The sequence below is a fragment of the Homo sapiens genome, chromosome 1 (assembly GCF_000001405.40).
Source record: "Homo sapiens chromosome 1, GRCh38.p14 Primary Assembly".
NCBI lineage: Eukaryota > Metazoa > Chordata > Mammalia > Primates > Hominidae > Homo > Homo sapiens.
Window position 1 is genome coordinate 6,805,737 of NC_000001.11, and position 21,909 is coordinate 6,827,645.

The window sequence follows — 21,909 nt, forward strand, 5'->3', positions numbered from 1 at the left end:
CTGGGCTCAAGTGATCCTCCTGCCTTGGCCTCCCAAAATGCTGGGATTACAAGTATGAGCTGCTGTGCTGGCCTTTACTTTCTTGATAGTGTCCTTTGAAGAACAGAAGTTTTAAATTTGATTGTGTCCCATTTATCTGTTTTTTTGTTTTTTTTTTTGGTCACTTATGCTTTTGGTATCATAATAAGAAACCATTGTCATATCCAAGGTCGTGAAGGTTTACACCTGTGTTTTTTTGTTAGAGTTCTGTAGTTTTAGCTCTGACATTTAGTTCTCTGATAGATCTTCAGTTAATTTTTGTACACAGTGTGAGGTAGGCTTCCAGCTTCATTTTTTTGCATGTGGATATTCAGTTGTCCTAGCCCATTTGTTGAAAAGACCATTCTTTCCTCACTGAAGTGTCTTGGCACCCTTGTTGAAAATCAACTGACTATAAATCTGTGGGTTTATTTTTAGAGTCTTGATTCTATTCCATTGATCTATATGTCTATCTTTGTGCCATTACCACAATGTCTTGATTCTGTAGCTTTGTAGTAAGTTTTGAAATCAGGAACTGTCAGTCCTTTAACTCTGTTCTTCTTTTTCAAGATTGTTTTGGCTGTGCTAGCTCCCTTGTATTTCCGTATGAATATTAGGATCAGCTTGTTAGTTTCCACAGAAGAGACAACTGAGATATAATGGGGATTATATTCAATCTGAGGATCTATTTGGGGAGTTTAAATTCATTTTATGGATTTGCTGTATGCTTAGGAAGTCCTGGCTAACTCAGACACCCAAGCATCTTGCCTTAAAAACACAAAATTTTGTTTTAATTTATTGATGTAGTAGGCTGCCTTGGTGAAACACTGTAATTCACTGTTAGACTGGAATTGGACTTTTCAGGTTCTAAGAGAGCAAACAGCTCTTCCACGTAGCGTGTAGGTTGACTTCCTGTAGTAAATGTTTTTTTGATGTGAAAGTTTGCTGATACCTTGCATGTTTTAAAAAAAATGTGGTATTCTGGTTAATATACATTCTGGTTAATAGAGAACTAGCAGATTATATATATGAATATTTATCAAAGAGTTAGGACATGTTACAATAAAATTGTGACATTAAAATTTATATAATTGTTATTATTACTGGAGGAATCAGAAGATATTTTAGGACCTTGTAGTCCCGCAGGGGCCACGTGAACATTGGTTATTGTTATACTTTTAAGTCACTTCATTTACTCAACAAATAACAAAGTGCCTATCTGTGCCAGGCACAAGGAAGGACAGACCCAGTCTCTGTCCTTATGGAGCTAAGGGGGAGACGGACATTAATCAAGATGCCATATGAAATTTCAGCTGGGACTCAGTGCTGTGAAGGTGCGTGCAATATGTCATAAAGGGATTTGACTAATCTGCAAGGTTGGGGGAGGCTTCTTGAGAGCTCTGGAGGAAAATGGGAATTAATTGTGGGAAGAATTAAGGAGAAAAGTTCCAGGTAATTGGGTGAGTTTGTTAGTGAGTTGTGTGGAGATACTCTGGTTATATCCTGTTTATCACTTTTGGGAAAGAGTATCTGAATACTTGGCTCTGGCCTTTACTCTGTCCCTTAAATGCCTTGTGGCTGAGCAGGTACTCTTTCTGAGCTTGTTCACATACTGTTTTTTAAATTTCTGTAGCCATTTTTATTTACAGATACTTACATGAAAACATACAGAAATCTAGGCTTTTGGTTGATTGTTTTCATATAATTAAAAAATCATTCACTTTGGGAGGCCGAGGCGGGTGGATCATGAGGTCAGGAGATCGAGACCATCCTGGCTAACATGGTGAAACCCCGTCTCTACTAAAAATACAAAAAATTAGCTGAGCGTGGTGGCACGTGCCTGTAGTCTCAGCTACTTGGGAGGCTGAGGCAGGAGAATCGCTTGAATCCAGGAGGCGGAGGTTGCAGTGAGCTGAGATCGTGCCACTGCACTTCAGCCTGGAGGACAGAGCAAGACTTCATCTCAAAAAAAAAAAAAAAAAATTATTTCTTTGTGACCTTCCATGGTTAGCTATTTAGAACTGCTTTAGTGGTAAATTGAATACTTTTCTGAACATTTTTCCTAGACTTTGAAATTAGGAGTCATTTCTGTTTACACATACTTCAGAAGCCTGTCAGGGACAGAGTCTGTAGTGACAGAAGTCTGTAGGGAAGCAGATATGGATGTAAGTGATTCAAGACAAGTCATAATGCTTTAATAAGGCTCTGGAAGGGAAGATGGAAAGACTTCCGGGAGGAGGTGGAATTTGACCTGAAATCATTGACGGGCAAACATGGTAGTTGGAGGAGAAATTCCAAGCAGAGGAAATGGAACAGAGGCATAGAGCCAAGAGAGTACAGGGAGTGGGTGGAATTCATGTGCATATGGGTAGGTAAGCCTCGGAAAGTAGGTAGGGGTCATGTTGTTAGGGGCCTGAAAGTCAGACCGAAGAATCTGGATTTAATTCTCTGCTCAGGAGAGGCTTTTAGAAGTTTTTTTTTTTTAGTAGAGGAATGGAATTGATTGGATAAAGTCGATTCTCCTGAAACAGGTGCTAATAAGGGCCACCTAGTTACTTCTCCAGCTTCCTCTCTACAGTCACGTCACATTTTTTAGACTCTGATTGTTCCAAGGTCCCACAGTGTCTGGTGGTTTTAGGCCTCCCACATTGCTGTTGCCTTGATTTAGAAGTTGCACCTGCCTCAGGAACACAGGCACACACGCTCACCCATGCTCTTGCTGACTTTCTGTGTCTTCTGTGTTTCAGCTTAAATGAAACTTCCAATAGGAGAAGCCTTCTTGACCTTGCCCCTCTTTTCAGATTGGATCGGATGCCCTTCCTGTGTGCACCATAGCACTACGTGGTTTTCCTAGTCATGGCACATTTTAGTTTGCATTGGAGTTGCTTGTTTACTTCTCTTTCTCTCTCAATTAGATGTGCATTTCTGGAGGTAAGAGGCTTGAGTACCTAGACTTAGTAAATGCTTGTTGGCTGAATGAATGAATGAATGAATGAGCAAATAGGAAGGACTAGAGTCGGGAGAAAATCACTTCTGGCAAGAGTTGTCTGTAGAATTGGGGTGAGGAAAGAGCTCGCATGGCTGAGGAGTGTGTGTGTCACACACACATGCAATTTTGTGACTGACTGAATGTGGGCCTTGAGGGAAGGTGACTCCTAGGTTTTGAACCATAACTGGGGATTTAGTGAGGCCAGACTGAGATAGGGAAGACAAGGCAGGTATATTTGGGGAGAATGGCTGCAAAGGTACCACTGTTTTTCTTCTTCTTCTTTTTCTTTTTTTTTTTTTTGAGATGGAGTTTCACTCTTGTCGCCCAGGCTGCAGTGCAATGGCATGGTCTCAGCTCACTGCAACATCCACCTCTCAGGTTCAAGCAATTCTCCTGCCTCAGCCTCCCGAGTAGCTGGGATTACAGGCACCCACCACCATGCCTGGCTAATTTTCGTATTTTTAGTAGAGACGGGGTTTCACCATGTTGGCCAGGCTGGTCTTGAACTCCTGACCTCAGGTGATCCGCTCACCTTGACCTCCCAAAGTGCTAGGATTACAGACGTGAGCCACCGCGCCTGGCCGGTATCGCTGTTTTTAAGGCGTCATTGGGTAGCTTTAGAATGTGTATATACAGCGTGACATTGGAGATGTGGGTCAAAGATCAGGGAGTCCTTCATATCACCCTGCTTTTTTTCTTCATTGTTCTTCCAGAGGGCAAGGGAGGGAGCCTTGGTGCTGGAGTCCTTAGAGGTCAGCCCCCTGGGCTTGGGGCAGGGAGAGAAGGGCTGTGAGGAGGTCTGGAGGGGCAGATGCAGTGGCAGCAGCACAGCACAAAAGGTACAGACAGTACCTTTGCAACCAATGAATGAATCAGTTCAAAACAATTAGAAGTCACAGTTGTGAGTGAGATTGGAAGGGGAGCAGAGAAGGGGCCTGAGGGCAGAAATGTGATGAATGCTTACATTTTAATGCCACCAGAGGGGAGAGAACCAGTAGAGGCTGAGAAAGAATGGTCGGAGAGGTAAGGGAACAAGCAGAATATGAATTCAGGGTTGCTGAGTGTGGAGGGTTGAAAGGAGGTTGTCAGTCGTAATGCTGCAGAGTTGAGTAGACTGAAGACTAAGGAAGGGTATTGGTTTTGTCAATTCGATAATGAGAGAATAAAGGAGTAGAGATAGGGTGGATGATTATTTCAGAACCGTGGTGGCATATACAGAGTACTGGTAGAAATGATGGTGAAATGATTGATCCAGTCCAAGATGAGAAAAGAAACCACTGTGGCCTGATGGGCTGTGAGTGTATTAGTTATCTATAGCTGCTGTAACCAATCATCACAAACCCAGTGGCTTCAAACAGCCCAGGGTGGAATCTCCTGGTTCCCATGGGTCAGGCATTTGGGCAGGGCAGGGCTGGGTCTGCTGGATTGGGACTGCTGAACTGTGGTCGAGGTGCTGGCCAGGACTGGGCTCACCTTGGAAACCTCTGGTAGGGGAGGATCCACTTCCAGGCTCCCTTGGCCATTTGAAGGACTCCTTTCTTTGGGCTGTTGGGCTGAGGGCTCAGCTTTTCGCCAGCTGTTGGCCCGAGGCTACCCTCAATTCCTGCCCCAGGGGCCTCTGCAACACCATAGCTTGCTTCATCAGAGCCAGGAGGGACAGTCTCTAGCAAGACAGAAGTCACAGTCTGCCCATTACCTTTGCCATGTTCTGCTGGTTAGAAGCAACTTGCTAGGTCCAGCCCACACTCCGGGGGAGGGGGTTACACAAAGCTGTTAACAGTGGCTGGGCGCGGTGGCTCATGCCTGTAATCCCAGCAGTTTGGGAGGCTGAGGCAGGCAGATCACGAGGTCAGGAGATCGAGACCATCTGGCTAACACGGTGAAATCCCGTCTCTACTAAAAATACAAAAATTTAGCCGGGCGTGGTGGCGGACACCTGCAGTCCCAGCTACTCCGGAGGCTGAGGCAGGAGAATGGCATGAACCCGGAGGCGGAGCTTGCAGTGAGCTGAGATCGTGCCACTGTACTCCAGTCTGGGTGACAGAGCGAGACTCCGTTTCAAAAAAAAAAGCTGTTAACATCAAGAGGTGGGGATCATAGGAGGTCCATCATAAAGTTTGTCCTCCACCGTAGAGGGGTGGTGACGGGATTAGAAGGCATTATAACAGTTCTTCAGGTGAGGCCTTGGAGGATGCAGATGGAAAAACGGGAGCTTTCAGAGGCGGAAGTTTTGGAAGTGCAGTTCCAGTTGAAAGTTGGGATAGTCAGGTGGTGACGCTTCTCAGGAGGCCTTCTGTGCCCTTTGTCTTCATGTGCCTTCTATGTGCTCTCTCCTGTTAGACAAATGAACATTCTGTGTTACAGTTGCCACCGATAAATCCATCTGTCTGGCTAAAATGGAATTATTTACCAGCCAATTCCTGGCCAGTGGAGGTATCTGCCCTCTTGCCTTATGGTTTTGTTGAGGATCAAATGAGGTAATTCATATGAAGTGTTTTATAGACTACAAAGTAATATGCAAACAAAAGGTATTAAACGGTGCTACCTTTTTCTCTATGTTAAGTAGAACCCATGGAATTTAACTTACATTTTCCTTAATAACTTGGGTTCATTATGTTGTATGTAGCTTATTAAACTGGGCTTTATTTAACACTGTGATTTGGGTTTTTGGAGTAGAGAGTTTACTTTTATGATAAATGACCCCAAACTGCTATACCTTTCAAATCCTTGTGTCCCATTTTTATTGTTTAAAAAAACAATCTCACCTTGCCGTTGCCTGTCACTCTTTTGCTTCTGTGTGTCAGTTTTGAGCTACATTTTTTCCCCTCCGATTTGTTGCTTCTGATCTCTGGGCTTGGCAACCTGATAATGAAGCATATTAGAGCTGTGAGTAGTTTTATAGTAATCAAGCTACGAATGTGGGTCGGAGAAACTCTTCTCACAGTGGAGTACATAAGCTTTTGTGCATGGACTTCGTAAAATTCACTTTTGGCCTTCAGAGTGTTCTTGGCTTCCTTCCTAGTTCTGGCTGTGTTCGGATTAAGGGAGGTTCCCAGATAGCCGACCTCCATTCCGGGGCTGTGGCTGCCATTTTCTTGGCGTCCACCTCATTGCTCTGTTACGAGAAACAGTGTCATTCTCTTCTTTAGTTTTGATGAGGTTTTAGTTCTTTGGGCAGTAGCAAGTAGTGATAGGTGATGGTGGTCTGTGGTTCATGGACCAAAAAATGTTTGAGAGGCATGGAGGATCTTTAGACAAGATCACCTTCTAGGTGTATGTGGTAGCATTCTGTTCCACCGCTCTCTTCTCCTTCAGGATGTCTCCCTCCCAGCTAACCTGCTCGGTGTTCCTCAGTGGGAGCGTTTGCCTTAGCTTTCTCTCAGAGCATCGTACTTACTTTTTCTGCCCGCATTTTTGCATTGCTGCTTTGTGGAGAAGCGTTGCTGCATTATTAGGGAGAGAACCGTGTTTTCTTGTGGAAATCACACAGTAGTATGGGAGAACTGGTCTGGTTCTAATTCTGCCCCGTCCTAGCTTGTGGCCTTTGCCCAGTGCCTTGTTACCCATGTCTTGGTGTCTCCATTTCTAGAATAGGCTTAATGTGTGCTTTGCTACCTTTTAGGATCGAAATAAGATTTTATATATGAAAATGCTTGTTATACGTACATAATATTGAATAGAATGCCTAGTTTGTTGGGTTGATTTTGTTGATATTTTACAATGCTCTCTCTGAGGAGTTAAACAAAATTATCATTAGTATGGGTAACAATAAGTACTACTGAAACAATATCATTTTAAATGTTATACAGTTTTTTTTACTGAATGTATTCTAGTTGAATCTATTTGTACAAATGTGGACATTTAGTAAGTGCTCTTTGATTATTTTCAGACTTTGAGTATACTGGCTTCCAAGCCAAATTAAATTTATGAAAATTCTAATGATACTGTGATTCATATCTAGAAAGAATAATTTAAAAAAAACTGTAAAATCACTTTAAACATGCTTTACGTGCATCTCTGGTAATAGAGAATCAATTAATCTGATTTCTCAGGCCATAAATCTGGCTTGATATATTGTAATATTAGTTCCTGTGTCAGCCTCTTAGAACTTGAACTGTTTTGTAGTCTGTTCCAGCTACTTGTTTGCTTTTGAACTCAATTCTAGGTGTTGAACTCAATTTGAGAGCCTAAAATGGTTTGTGCCCCAATTACCTTAGAGGTTACTGTTTCATTTTTTTATTTAGCCTGCCCCAGGAGTAGGAAGTCGGCTACCTACCAGACTTTTTCCTTTTAACTTGACTGTATACTTTAATTTTTGTCTCTATCCCATGGGGGAGTTGTGAGGGTTATTATAGTATAGTAGCACTTAATGGCATATTTTAAACTTCTTGAAAAGTGGTAATATGTGAGCACATAATATTTTTGTACTGTAGCACATAATTTTTTCCCACACTAACCTTTTGTGGTTCAGAAAAAGAATAAAGTTACTTGGGCTTGGGGTACATGTTGAATTGCCCATCTCATAAAATCGTTAACCTGATTTTAGGGAGTGTCTCTGAAACATGTCTTTTGACAGACCTTGTGCTGTTTCTTATTTATTATTAATAAATTGATATTTCATTTATTATTCATAAATTAATACTAATTAAATAATTAATTGTGCTCTAGCCCCCAGTTTTAGTTTGGTTTTCTTGGTATCTCTGAAAACTGTTGAGTATTCCCCCTACTCCTTTTAAGTTTTTTTTTTTTTTTAAGCAGGTTTAAAGTAGCTTTTATCATATTCCTTGATTTCTCAAATGAATAGAGGGATAAGGTTCCTTTCTTTAAAAATATCTGCAACATTGCTGGACTGAGAGGTCGTATTTACAGTTTTTTCTTTTTAAAAATTTTTTTTAGAGATGGGGTCCTGCTCTGTTGTCCAGGCTGGAGTGCAGTGGCACAGCTCACAGCTCACTGCAGCCTTGAACTCCTGGGCTCAAACAGTCCTCCCGCCTCAGCCTCCCAGGTAGCTGGGACTACAGGTTCGAGCCACTGCTTGTTCAGTCTCTTGCTTTTGTCTCAGTGGCACAGTACCAAGACATAGCAAATCAAAGTGACCAAGAGGATGAGTGGCAATTCGGTGGCCTTATAGGAAGAGATGTGCTTGAAAACGACAGAAGGCTTTTAGTAAATTCCACCACCATCACCAGGACGAGAGACGGGACCATTTTTCCTTTCCATAAACTTAGGGGCTGGTTATTAATTTATGAATTCTATAAGTAATTTGAGCTTGTGTTATGTACCAGACATTGTATTAAGTATTACCAGAGATACTGGGAAGAACAAGCCAGACATCCTTTCAAGGATGCATTTGATAAAATCTCATTTTGAGTATGTTAGGAAAATATTTATTGGAGAAGGAAACCTCCTAGATTGGTTTTAGATCCCGAATGGCCTTAGGGATTGAAAATGGAGTTGTAGGTTAGCAGAGGACATTTCTGAAAGGAGTAACTATTTTGTAATTAAAAAGCAGTTTACAGAAGATACTGTGGCAGAGACTGCTAGTTGATCATGAAACCCATCTCCTTCTCTTCCTCCTCTTCCTGGGCATTTTCCAGTCCCCCTTGGAATCGTGACCAAATTCTAGCCAGTGGGGTGAGAGCAACGAAGTGTGCCACTTCCAGACTTGGCCCCTGAAACTCTTGAGGCATGGGTATCATGCCTTTTCCTTATCTGGCTTGATGCAGAGGGCCTAGTGACCTAGAAAGTCTTCTGCCACAAGGTAGAAGGAGCACAGGCAGCAGAGCCACTGCTGTGAGAACAGTCTGCCCACCAGGAGCACCTGTTTTGGACTTTACCTGAGCAAGAAGTGAACATTTTTGGTATTTGAGCCATTATACAGTTAGCCTCCCTAACTATCTAGGCACGATGCCTAGGATGCTAAGCAAAACTGGACTGAGAGGTCGTATCTACAGTTTTTTCTTTTTAAAAAATAGTAAAGGTGCTAAGTAGTAAAGGTGCTAAGATTCAGGCGCGGCTTTAATTCTGTGGAGACCTAAATATTCTTTGTCTTTATTTCAAAGAACGGTAAATACACTTTTCATTATGCTGTTTCTCTGTTCCAAAGCCTGTAATCACTTCTTACTATATAGCATCTTGTTTCATTAATCCATCTTCCAAAAACTCTAATATATGTATATATTATCCATATACAATGAATGTGCCTGTGTGTAACATCCTGATCTAGGTTCTCTGAGTGGAGACAAAATGAATAAAACATAGTCCATGGCTTCAAAGAGTTTCTGCTTGATAGCCAGGTAGTTACTGAATTTCCATACTGCTATCATCTGTCCCTTGTTTTAACCTTTAAGTCATATATTATTTTTTCATTACCTTTTTTTAAAAGTATTGTTTCAATTAGATAGTATACTTTTTGAAAACAGGGAATATATATTATAGAGCTCTGCATCTCTCCTCTTGGGTATTTCTTTTTTTTTTTTGAGACGGGGTCTCACTCTGTTGCCTAGGCTATAGTGCAGTAGTGCTGTCATGGCTCACTGCAACCTCGATCTCCCAGGCTCAAGCAATCCGCCTGCCTCAGCCTTCCATTTAGCTGGGACTGCAGGCACACAGTACCACACCTGGCTAATATTTTAATATTTGTAGAGACAGAGTCTTGCCATGTTGCCCAGGCTGGTATTGAACTCCTGGGCTTAAGCAGTCCTCTCGCCTTGGCCTTCCAAAGTGCTGGGATTACAGGTGTGAGCCACCATGCCCAGCCTTCTTGGGTACTTCCAGCAGAAACTGGGCACTATACTTGAGTAACCATCCCTAGAGTTTCTACTAATTATCTTGTGTGGATATTCTGGTATAGTTTTGTATTATGTACTAACAGATGAAAGTACTTTTTAAATCTTCTAGGAATTAGTGGAATTATGCTGTTGAGGAATGTTAGGATTGGAAGGATCTTTTATAGATCATTTATCTAATTCCTGATCTTTTAGTTTGATCATCTGGTTTCTGATACTCAAGGTGTGGCCATTAATTGCAGCATGGGCATCACCTGGGGGCTTGTTAGAGGCAGAATCTCAGGTTCTCCCTCAGACCTGTGAATCAGAACTTGCATTGAAAGAAGATCCTAAGATAACCCGCATGCACATTACATTTGGAGAAGTTCTGCTCAAGGTCAACTACTCATTTGACTCTTGAGAAAACTGGGGAAGTCAGAGAGTTGCCCAGTCATACAACTGTTTATTTCAGTGGTTCTCAACCTTGGATACATCTTGGGATCACTTGGGGACCTTTAAAAAAATACTGAGGCCTGGGTCCCATCCCCAGACATTCTGACGTAATTGGTTTGGGCATCAGAGTTTTGGAGATTTCACTAGATGACTGGCTAAGGCTGAGAACCATTGATTTGATTAATGATGGAATCCAGGTTTCTTCATGCTCTAATCAAGTATTCCTTCCACTCCACCATGGCTGTACATTCAGAAACAATGAAAAACATCCTATCAAATTTTTACAGTAATGCATCACTCCATTTCATTTCCTTTATAGGAATTTACCCCTATTGGATAGTGTCCCATTTACCATCTGTCTTCCCCCCACTAGAATGTATCTCCAAGAGGACAGGACCCTTGTCTGTCTTGTTCAGTGCTGTGTCCCAGCTTGCGAACAGTGTCTGGTACATGTTAGGTGCTCCTTTAATAGTTGTAGAACAAATGGAAGGAGCTACCATAAAGAAGGATGTGTTCTGTGAGAGGAAAACACAGGCTACTCTAAAGGTACCCTGTGGGCGAGAGGCTTCCTGAAGGGTGAGGGGTCTGAGTTGAAGTGCAGAATCAGCGGGGGAGGTGCTTGAAGACCTGCTTCTGAGGAAGGACTTGAACCCAGATCTGACTTGAAAGCTTGTGCTTTTCCATTCCACTGTGTTGTCCTGTGGACACAGTGGCTCACTGATTTGCCCGGACTTCTTAGTAGTGAGTGGTGGACTGGAACACACCACCGCGGCTCTGCAGGTGCTTAAGGCCAGCCCGCCTCCCTCTATGGCAGAGCCGCCCCAGTATTGCAGACAGGCGCCTAGAGGGAGATCAAAACACGAAGTTGTCCTGTGAAAGTTCCTGGCCCAGTGTTTGGCACAGGGGTATCTAGTACAAGGTAGCCCTTTCTTATCATGGAAGTTTTTTTGTGCTTTGGCTTGTTTTGAGAACCTATGGTTTTCAAAGATAGAATGACTTGATTTCAGTTTTAACTTTGGTTTCTTTCCTAGTTAACTATGGAGACTTCATTATGCAGTGCTGTGGAGAGAGTGTGATTGGTTTTTGTCTATGATATTTCTGTGTCATATGTTATTTTAGTGCCAAGTTCTTCCTGTTATTTCAGATATTCTGTCACTGATTTACTTATTGTTAGACTTTGAAGTTGGGTATAAAAATCCTTTTTTATGAAGCTATTCATTAGTGTGTCCCACTGAACCAAAGTGATTTTTAAAAACTTTTCACCTAAGACCATTGTTAAGATATCTCAAATGGTAATCTTATACCGTCAGTTTTTGATAATAGGAAGCCAGGAAATGTTAAGCCTTGAATGTAAGACATTATTTTTAACATCGTAAAATTTCAAGTTTTAATTCAGAAACTAAATTAAAATGAGGTATTACATTCATGTGATTAGTGGGCTGTTACTGGTGACTCTTAAAGATGTTACAAGAAGTCAGCGTGCTGCTGACTTTTCCCCTATTGGAGATCTTCCCATGAACCACTTTTCCTAAGGTATGATGATTCCATGCTCACAGTCATGGGTAGAAAGTAATGTTGGATTTTCCAAAGGATACATGAATTCCGAGCCTTGTCTAGTCTATAGGGTGAATCCTTGGACATGACTGTTACCACAGATGTTATCATAGTTAACTACTTTTTTTGTTTTTGTGTCAGGGTCTCATTCTGTCACCCAAGCTAGAGTGCAATAGCATGGTCATGGTTCACTTTAGGCTCAAATTCCTGGCTCAAGTGATCCTCCCACCTCAGTCTCCTGAGTAGCTGGGGTTACAGGCGTGAGCCACTGTGCCTAGCTCAGTATACTACTATTGGTTAAATTGGAGAGGGAAACAGTCCTAGAACAAGAGTTTTACAGAAATAGAAAAGAAAGAATTAAGGAGCTCATGGTTATCCTGGTAGCTAGGAGTCACATTATAGAGAAAGACTTTATTTATATGGACCCTGAAAACAATTTGACTTCTGAAGCACTTGATCATGGGCATAAGGGAGAGGAAAATTAATAATTCTTGGAAGTCAACTTTAGTCAGATTGCAACATTTTTTGGCATAAAAAACTCAGGCGCGGTGGGTCATGCCTGTAATTCCAGCATTTTGGGAGGCCGAGGCTGGCAGATCATTTGAGGTCAGGAGTTCGAGACCAGCCTGGCCAATATGGTGAAACCCCATCTCTACTAAAAATACACAAATTAGCCAGGCATGGTGGCGGACACCTGTGATCCCAGCTACTCAGGAGGCTGAGGCAGGAGAATCACTTGAACCTGGGAGGCAGAGGTTGCACTGAGCTGAGATCCCACCACTACACTCCAGTCTGGGCAACAGAGTGAGACTCCGTCTCAAAACAAACAAACAAACAAATAACAACAAATAAATAACTCAGGCAATCCTGTTTGTTCTTAGAAAATGTTAACATTGTTAAAGCTCACCCTCATTAACTATGGTAACAATAGTGTTTTGTATTTGGGTGGTACCTTTGAATTGAAAGCACTTGGGTATGTATTACCTAATCCTCCTCCTGCCTCAGAGAGAAGGAGAGAGAAGTATCCACCCGCCCTTTTTGGATGAGGTAGTACAGAGAGGTTGAATTACTTTCCTAAGGACAGCTAGTAAATGTTAGAACTGAACTCTTTATATTTTATTTTAATTAATTAATTTTTTGAGACAGGGTTTCACTCTGTCATCCAGGCGGGAGTGCAGTGGTGTGATCATGGCTCACTGCAGCCTCAACTTCCCGGATTCCAGCAATCCTCCTACCTCAGTCCCCCCAGGTATCTGGGACCATAGGTGTGTTGCCACCATGCCTGGCTAATTTTTGTATCTTTGGTAGAGGTGAGGTTTTGCCATGTTATCCAGGCTGGTCTTTAACTCCTAAGCTCAAATAATCCACCCGCATTGGCTCCGCAAAGTGTTGGGATTACAGGCATGAGCCACCACATTTATTTATTTATTTATTATTATTATTTTTAAAGATGAGGCCTTGTTCTGTTGCCCAGGCTGGAGCAGGAGTGTAGTGGTGTTATCATGGTTCACTGCAGCCTTAAAAGTCCTGGGCTCAAGCGATCTTCCTACCACAGCCTCCTGAGTAGCTGAGACTACAGGCACAAGCCACCATGCCTGGTAGCTTTTAAATATAAAATGTTGAGGGTGGTTGTTGAACTTGTAAACTATCTTTGGTTTTCTAAGTGTATAAATATGTGGTTTATAATGTAGGATGAATAATCTAAAATTTTATTTAATACTGCAGCCAAACAAAAAAGATATTTTTAGGACTGAAAATAATTGGCCGTCAATATTCAAAAAATTTTCTTTTTTTTTAAAAAGTTACCGTTGTGTAGGTTTTAGGTGAAATCTTTAATTTTATCTGAGTGAAGCAGCCTGACAGCCAGAGACCTTGTTTCTTTCCTGTTAACGGAATTCCCCTTGATTTACTTGCCATGCCATAATACTAGTTGGCGCTCTGCACATTTTTTGGGTGAGTCGGGTGTTGGGTTTATTGTTGGGAAATGGTTAAAAATGTTGTTGGTGTTGACTGAGCTTCAAAATGAATATGACATTGGTTCTTAGCAAAAATTTCCTCTATGTACAGCACACATACTTCCCATTTAAACAAATTACACAAGTTATGCATGTTCATCAGCACAGACCTTTTCTCACATATGTATCTAAAATTTTGAAGCAGCCTTAAGCTTGCAGTGCAAAGAACGGTTTCCCCCTGAGCCATTTGAGGATAAATTGCTGATAAGTTCCATCACTCTCAAATACTTGATCATGTACTTCCTACAAACAAGAACATTCTCCTCCATAACCACAAGAACAGTAATCACAACCAGGAAGTTAACACTGAGACATTCCTACTCTCCAGTCCTAAAGTCCTGTTGCTGTTTGCCAGTTGATCCAGCAATGGCCTTTGTAGAAAAATATCTAATCAGAACCTTGGGTCATAACTGGTTGTCTCTTCAATCTCTTAATACAGAAGAGTTTTCAGTCCTTTTAGACTTTCATGACCTTGACACTCTTGAGGATTGCAGGCCAGTCATTTTGTGGAATGTTCCTTGATTTGGATTTGTCTGATGTTTCCTCATGATTAGATTCAGGTTTTGCATCTTGGCAGGAATATCACAGAAGAGCCAGATTATATCTTTTTGAAAGATTAGTTTTACATTTTATTTTCTGTTTCCTTAGAGCGTTTCCCAAAGTGTATTCTGCGGAACTAGCACCTACTGTGTTCTCAACACCGTGCCACCTATAGAAGGTAGGATTTGAAAAAGCTTTTGACTTACAGGAAGGGGTGGGCTTGGCAGTGGCAGTAATTATCATCTAGTACAGTGGAAACAGCCTTCAGCCCGGACTCAGAAGACCTGGGTTCTGCACTTAACTGCTGTGTGATCTTAGATGAGTTACTTAATCCTTCTGGGGTAGCAAAAAGAATGCTCTCCTCATAAAGTTTCTGTGGAGATGAAAAAAGGCAAAAGATTTAATCACACGGAGAAATCAAAGCACTTAACAAATGTTTGATACTAATACAACACTTCTGTAATTCTAGTGTCCAATACCAGGTGACTTAGAGTAGGAGCAGTGTGGTATTTTGGGAAAAGCCACAGGTCATGTTTGAATCCCAGCTGAGCCACTCAGCAGCTGTGGATCTTGGGCAAATTAATCTGAGCCTCATGTTCCTCCTCTGTAAAATGGGAGTAATTAAGCCCTTGTGTTTTATCGTGAGGATTAAATGAAAGAGTGCAATGTAAGATCCTTTCTGGGTGCCTGATACACAGTAGAGTCCCACAAGTGCTTACTCCCTAATAAATAATGGAAAATAGATTTACTTAATCACATGTACCTCCAGTTGGAATTGAATGAAGTAGAGGAGGAGAGAATGTCCCAAAACCCAAATTGAAGTGATGGCTTACAGGGCTGCTGTGCCCTCACTTTATCTGTTCCCTCATACATATTTTTAGATTGAAAATGTAAATGTAGATAAACAGTGAGAAGTTTATTGAACCTGAGTTATGATTTGACCTAAGCCTGGACCCGAGATTTTGTAATATGATCAACAGGAAAAAGGTAAATCTGGGCTACCTAAAAATAGAAGCGGTAAGTTGATCATCACACAACTCTAAGAACAAGAAGGGGATTGTTAAATAGCAAAACTAATTATATTTTTCTACTTAAAAAGCTGTTAGTTTCTGTTTCTTTAACCTTTTAAAAATCTTTTGTAGAATTACTACTGGGTTTAATTCACTTTGGAGACTTTGGAAAAGAATAATGCAAAATCAGATCAGTGTTTGGCACATAGTGCTTAATTAATATGTATTTTGGATATATGGTGATTTGAAGGCCTTAGGTTAGTAATGGCTGTATTTGCTGCTGTGAGCATTATGCTGACTTGAATATAACAATATATGTTTATGTTTTCAGTTCCTATCCTACTAATTAAATCTAAGCACATAATAATTAGAGCTAAACAGAAAATTGTAGAGCTTCCTTTTGATTTTACTACTCCATGTTGTTGATCAAAGATATTCCCAATAAGATTTAGCAATTTGATACACTGTTATACCAAACTGTTTGAACAGTTTGGTCTAGAGTTTGAAAGATTAATCGTAATCAACTTGAATGAATAACAGTGTTCATCATTATTCATAGAACCAACATTATTTTTTATTATGAATCAAAGTAAAATGAATGTATCATTTCTAGATTAGTTAATATAGTTATAATTTACCTTGGCAGAAGTCACAGAATTTTCGAAGGAAAAGGTCAAATACATTTCTTTGGATTTAAGTAAAGGATTTGGCAATGTGAATCTCATTTTTTTGAAACAAAACATGAAAACAGTAATTCTGCTTTTTGTCTAAGTGAATGAGCATTTTTTTGCATATTGGAAAGTTATATTATACTACACCTTGTAGGTTGACTAGAAAGGATGGTTCGTTCTTTAGAATTAGAGTTGTCAGTCAAGCAAATCATCTGTCATTTTCAAGAGCCTCACTAGTTATTTTTTTATTGTGAAGTAGGTTAGAAAATTATTTTGTAAAGTCTAATACCATACACATATATTTTGTTAGATAATGATAATGAAGTGTTTTACTGTCATTTGGTTGACACTCCCACTTTTCAGTGTCAAAGTTCAACTATTTGTATTGAATACTGAATAATGCAGTGGAAACCAGTATATGCCTTAATTTTACTGTTCACTCAAGATACTATTATTAGGATTTGAAAACTGGTGCATGTGTTTAGTTATTTTATCATTCTTAGTTATCCCAAAACATTAAAAAGCAGATTTTAATTTAAAAACAGATTTTTATGCAGTATAGCCATGTAAAGTTCTTTTCCAGTGTAAAATCAAAGTTTCTCTGTATCCCACTTCACCTGTAGAAACACTGAAATTTAAAAATATGAGTTTTAACATTTTGCCTATTTGAAATTCCAGTAATTCTTTTCTCAGTATTAAACTCGCAATCCTTATAATGTAGTAGGAAAATTTACCCATTGTTATGTTTCTTAAAAACATCCAGTTTATATTCAGCGTGAACCTAAAATTCTGGAAATGGTACACTTTAAAAACTGATCAAGGGGAACCCACTGGCCAGTCATATTCCTGTTCCTTTTGACTCTGTGGCCACACCTCCGTGTAAAGTGTAATGTTTAGAAACTAGATTGAGAGAGTGCTTACACAGCCCTGCCCTTTGGTCACATTTACCACTGCCTGATTTGGTATCAGAGTGGAAGACTGAAGCCTTTTCTATAGCAGTTAATTGTGCTGTTGAGAAGAGTACCTTTATTACATAAATACCACACACACACACACACACACACACACACACAAACACACACACACGCACACTCTTTATATACCGCACAGTAGCTGGGTTCCTCGAAGAGGCTAAAAGAACAGAAAATTAACATCAGATTGTGATCACAAACATAGAAGCTGGGGTTTAAAACTCTGCTCGTAAGTGTTCAGAATTGTACTTCAAACTGATAGCTTTCTCAGAGATATGGCTATTCATATACAATTCAGAGCAAGCCCATCCATTGAGCAACCAGTATAGTGCCGTTTTCATAAAAGGTACCTGTAAATGTTGAATATTTGAATTGAGTATAGATTTTAGAATTTCACCTCTATTTTCAGAATTGTACATATCATGGGGGATTTTAAAAAATGGAAATAAAAGTACTTTAGGGGAAGAGAGAAGGGAGGTAAAGGCTCACGTGATCTGGTATTCTCTGCTTTAAAGTTTTATGGCCCGTGGAACCTCCCTCGGGAGGATGAAGTGCAGGGAGCATAAGCACATAAGATTACCGAGGTTTTATAGTGTGTAATTCATACAGAACTTTCTATGAACTTTCTTTTAGTTGAACAGTTTCCTTTTGGTTTCACAGGAAGATTTTTTGAAAGGTTTAATCTTATTTTCCTATTAAATTAAAATTTGAAATTCTTGAAAGCAGTCAGTTTTTAGGTTTTTAAAGTTTTTATACTGCTTATAGAAATAGAGGATGGGTATTATAATTCAATTGGTTATGTAGTTCATGGACCAAAAAAGATTTAGTATGCCAAAACTCTCTTAAGTTCATCTCCATAAAATCTTTCTATATGATGTAGTAAATTTTTTAGACTTTATTTCTATGCCCAATATTTTCCTTTTAAGATCTTTTCCTTGAGAAGAAGTGTGTTAATCAGATGAAAAATGTTTGGAGAGGATTTTGTGACCTTAGAAAATATTTTTTGTTCTTTGATGTTTTTCATCTGTTCAAAAAAATAGACTGTACTGAACAAAGCCGTAGTAAATAACTGGAAAAAGATATTGTTGTATTTCACTTTTAAGATTATTAACCAATGCCTGTATACTTATGTAAGGTTGCTTAATTGTAAGGCCTATTAAGTTATTTAATGACAGTAAATTTTATAGGGATTTGTGTCTGGAGAAGAATTAGAGATAATCTAATCTTGTTGATTTGGGAAAACTGAAACTATTAAGTAACTTACCCAAGGTCACACAATTAGAAAGTAGCAGAACTGGGCCAGATCTTGGACTCTTGACTCTGAGTTCAGTGTTATAAAACCTTATTATATCATGAAAAGTTGTTTCAACTGTGACTTACTGGAGCAAATTAAGTCTTTGATGTTTTAATGTGCAGCTCCTTAGTACCTAGTTATGTGTACCCTTTGTATATTGGGGATCTTATGTAGCATAAAAAGCCTGGGATGAATAATTTGTAACTTTGACCTAAATGTGCCAAAGCTTGTGAGAAATTTTGAGTCAGGCAAAGAAACTTTGTTATAGGAGTGAAAAAATAAATGATATGTAAGCAAACAAATGAGTGAAATAAATGTTATATAAAGGAAATGATCTCTTCTAGAAATCATCAGGTAGACTGATTATTAGGTAGTCAGACATACCATCTAGTCTGAAAGTAATTATTTTTTCTCTAACTCATTTAGAAGAGTTACATTTTGATGAAATACATTAATTATGTAGATATGTATATGTAAATCAAGTTAATTAAAATGATGATTTTATGTTCAGACCTAGAAAGGCCAGCTTCTGTATTACCTGAGTAGCTAACTGCAGGCTTAAATCCCTTATATTTATAAGATTTGTGATTTGCTTTTGAAAGGATAAATCTCTTTTATAGTCTAGGGGATGAAGTAGTATTTACGAACAAAATAGTCATATATTACTATAATTCTTCTTACCTAAGAAACTTAACATTTTTTCAACTGCTTAATAAAAGATTTTTGGGCTTTGTGAGGTTAATTTTATAATTTTTATGTGCTTCATCAAAACATGGGGAAAGAACCTTTTAAAATAACTTTCGGTTATGGGCAGCTGCGGGGATTTTCCCTGTTCACTCACATGTCAGGGAGCACAAGCCCGATCCTGTTTTAAATCCTCTTGACCAGATTCCTGCTGCCATCAATCTGATAAATGGGTAAATGAGTATTATTAACTAAGAGGAATAGTGGGGCCTCTGATGCTCTTGGTCTCACATTGACTAAACTGAGCTGCTATTTCTGACTTTGTCAGTGTACTTTAAAGGAGATTTTATCTATTATTTTCTCTAAATTTATTGTTTTCTTCTTTGTAGATGATCATGGGAACAGCAATAGTAGTCATGTAAAAATCTTTTTACCGAAAAAGCTGCTTGAATGTCTGCCGAAATGTTCAAGTTTACCAAAAGAGAGGCACCGCTGGAACACTAATGAGGTAGATAAGTTTCTTTTTTTAAGGGTATAATTATTTTAAGGGCAAATTTTTTAGGTTGCTTCACATAGTCCTACTTTATGTTAGCTTTAAATTTAAAATACTGATCTAGGAAATTGTAAATGACATTATTTAATCTGGATTTGACAGAAACCAACCAACATGTTTTTTGATCTGTCTCTGATCTGCTTGGCTTGCATTGAAAGATACACAATGTGCACGTTGACTTAACTAAAGTAGCATGAGTTTCTGTCTGTGTTTTCTTGCATTTTAGTGTCTTGCATTTAGTGGTTAACCCTGCCTGCATGCCAGTTAAACGTTAGTTGTTATGTCTTCATGAATTAATAAATATACAGTCCCACTGTTCCACAGAATGTGTAGTGTCTTGACAATGTGAATTTTTGTAGAGTTGGAAAGGGCAGGTTTCATAGGAGTGAAACAGCTTTTCGTCCTTTCTAATGAAGAAAGTTTGCTTAATGCTAAGAATTTTTATTAAGATTGAAGGCTGTACAGTAGATTATGTATTTAGCATCCAATTAGAAAGTAGATTTATGAAGTAGAATGAAAAAAGTTAATCATCTTGGATGATGTTTCCTTTTTTGGTAAATTTTAATCCAGGAGTCTTACTGTTAGGAGTGGATTGCTTTGTCATCTTTTTTATTTTGAAATCTGAATATTTCAATTTAAGGTAATACCCGTTTAGTGTGGTGATGAGAATTGGGTATACGTCCATCAATTTGGGAGTTATATTCCTTTAATTCAGATGGCTGGGGTTGCTGGTTTTGCCAAGTTCCATTTGTGTGCCTTGGCTCAACATTGATGTCCAAGTTAAAGCAAATTTAGCACCCTATCCTTATTGGACACTCAGTTCTGTTAAAAGACACAAGAAGAAAATAGTGCTGCCTATTGAGCCTTATTTTTTAAAGATTCTTTGGCGCTAACTACTTCCTGATTCAGAATGCTTTTGTTTTGCGTGGTGGGAGGTTATGTGGATAAAAGTCTCTTTCCTTATCACAGGTTAGATTTAAATACTCACTGGAACCTTACAGCTTTGTTAACTTGTCTCAACTGATTGTAAAATTCTTTGAAGGACTCTATGTTTTGATCATTTTCATAAATTACATTTTCCCGTCAGACAGAATGTTTTTGCTTTGACAAATGTTTGCTAGTTTAGAGGCCTGCTGTTTAACCAGTTATTTATTAACTATTTCAGACATTTTTAGACGTGAAAATGAAGTAGATATGCTTAAAATTAGTCTTAATCATAGTTTGTTACTCTTTCAGCAAAATAGTATTATATAATTTGGAAGCCATTTAATAAGTCGGAACTTGATTATGAATTATTTAAAAACTCAGTGTATTTCTTAGTATTCCCTGAAACGTAGATTTGATACCAAATTATTATACACGTTAGTTCTAGTTTATTTATAAATGTAACCCAACCCATAATAAGTATGTATTTTTCCATATTATATTTCCTGTGGAATTGGCAGCTTATTTATTTTATTTTTTCCCATGGACCCATGTCTTGTGGCAGTTTATTTTAACTATGATTTGACATTATATTTGAAACCAGAAATTGCTTAGTGAATTAAAATCAGTGGCCTGAAGAGTCTTATAAAGCTGGATGTAGCAGTGCTGGGAATTTAGTTGGTAGATTATTTCCATCAGTGGCTTCAAAACTTTTTGAAACTTTTCAGCATAACCCTTCAACTTTCACATGTTTAATAAAACCTCTAAATTATTTACATGTTGCACCTTACTAGTATATTAGATACGTTTTAAAGCATCCGATAAAGAATTTTTATAGAGGATGAGATTAAAAGAAAAAAATGAGAAGTTTTTCCTTATTTTCTTTCTGGACCTCAGTCCACATACTCCCTTGGAGGCCAGAGGCTGCCATAATTCAGATTACAGAGAGGAAAATGCATCCCATTCTCTCACTGGTGTAATGCAAATTTGAGGATCTAGATGGGAAAACGTGGATTGTTTTGCATCAGCTATCACTCATGCTGAAATCTAGGTAGAGGAGCGTATGTTCTGAAGGGTGGAGGCAGCAGGAGGTGGCACAGCTGATGGGTGAAGCCATGCAGCACCCTTTCCCTTGGGATGGGCTGTTCTTTCAGTTAATTGTCAGCTCAGCTGACAAAAGCTCCTATGAGGGAACTGAATTTACAGGTTGACTCATTTCTCTGTAGAGGACCTTGACTTTTTTCTTGTTTTATTTTTTGGCTTTGGAAAAATAGAGGAATATTAAGTGTGACAGCGAAGACTTACCCTACGAATTGTTAATTCTGCAGAATGTTATGTGGCGATGATAACCTGCTATTTTTTTTTTTTTAAACTGGCTTTGGTAATATAGGTGGAATAAAGCAATCAGCGGTGTTACTAAAGCACTTCTTTGATCTAGCTGGGAATTGGCATTTTCTTACGTTCTT

General features: G+C 39.1%; 1 protein-coding gene across 36 annotated transcripts in view, besides 1 other annotated feature; it reads left to right on the forward strand.

Moving 5' to 3' along the window:
- The window catches only part of CAMTA1 (calmodulin binding transcription activator 1), a 984,253-nt gene that overhangs the window by 20,283 nt on the left and 942,061 nt on the right, over positions 1-21,909 (forward strand). For 23 of the 36 annotated variants that reach the window (XR_001737064.2, XR_001737062.2, XR_007057950.1 and 20 more), the window contains exons 2-3: positions 14,445-14,514; positions 19,356-19,474. Coding sequence is in view for 28 of the 36 variants with exons in the window: in XM_011541084.3 (XP_011539386.1) it covers positions 14,445-14,514; positions 19,356-19,474 (189 nt within the window). In the remaining 8 variants the exon portion in view is untranslated. Of the gene's footprint in view, positions 1-1,246; positions 1,353-13,344; positions 13,735-14,444; positions 14,515-19,355; positions 19,475-21,909 lie in introns of those variants that run through there. The other 13 variants (NR_146203.2, NR_146202.2, NR_038934.2 and 10 more) reach the window with 4 other exon arrangements.
- Positions 3,148-3,648: an enhancer, noted in NCBI's record as "H3K4me1 hESC enhancer chr1:6868944-6869444 (GRCh37/hg19 assembly coordinates)". NCBI's record gives its function as "activates a minimal SCP1, AML or CMV promoter by ChIP-STARR-seq in naive H9 embryonic stem cells {active_cell/tissue: H9 hESC(naive)}" and the evidence as "EXISTENCE:reporter gene assay evidence [ECO:0000049][PMID:30033119]".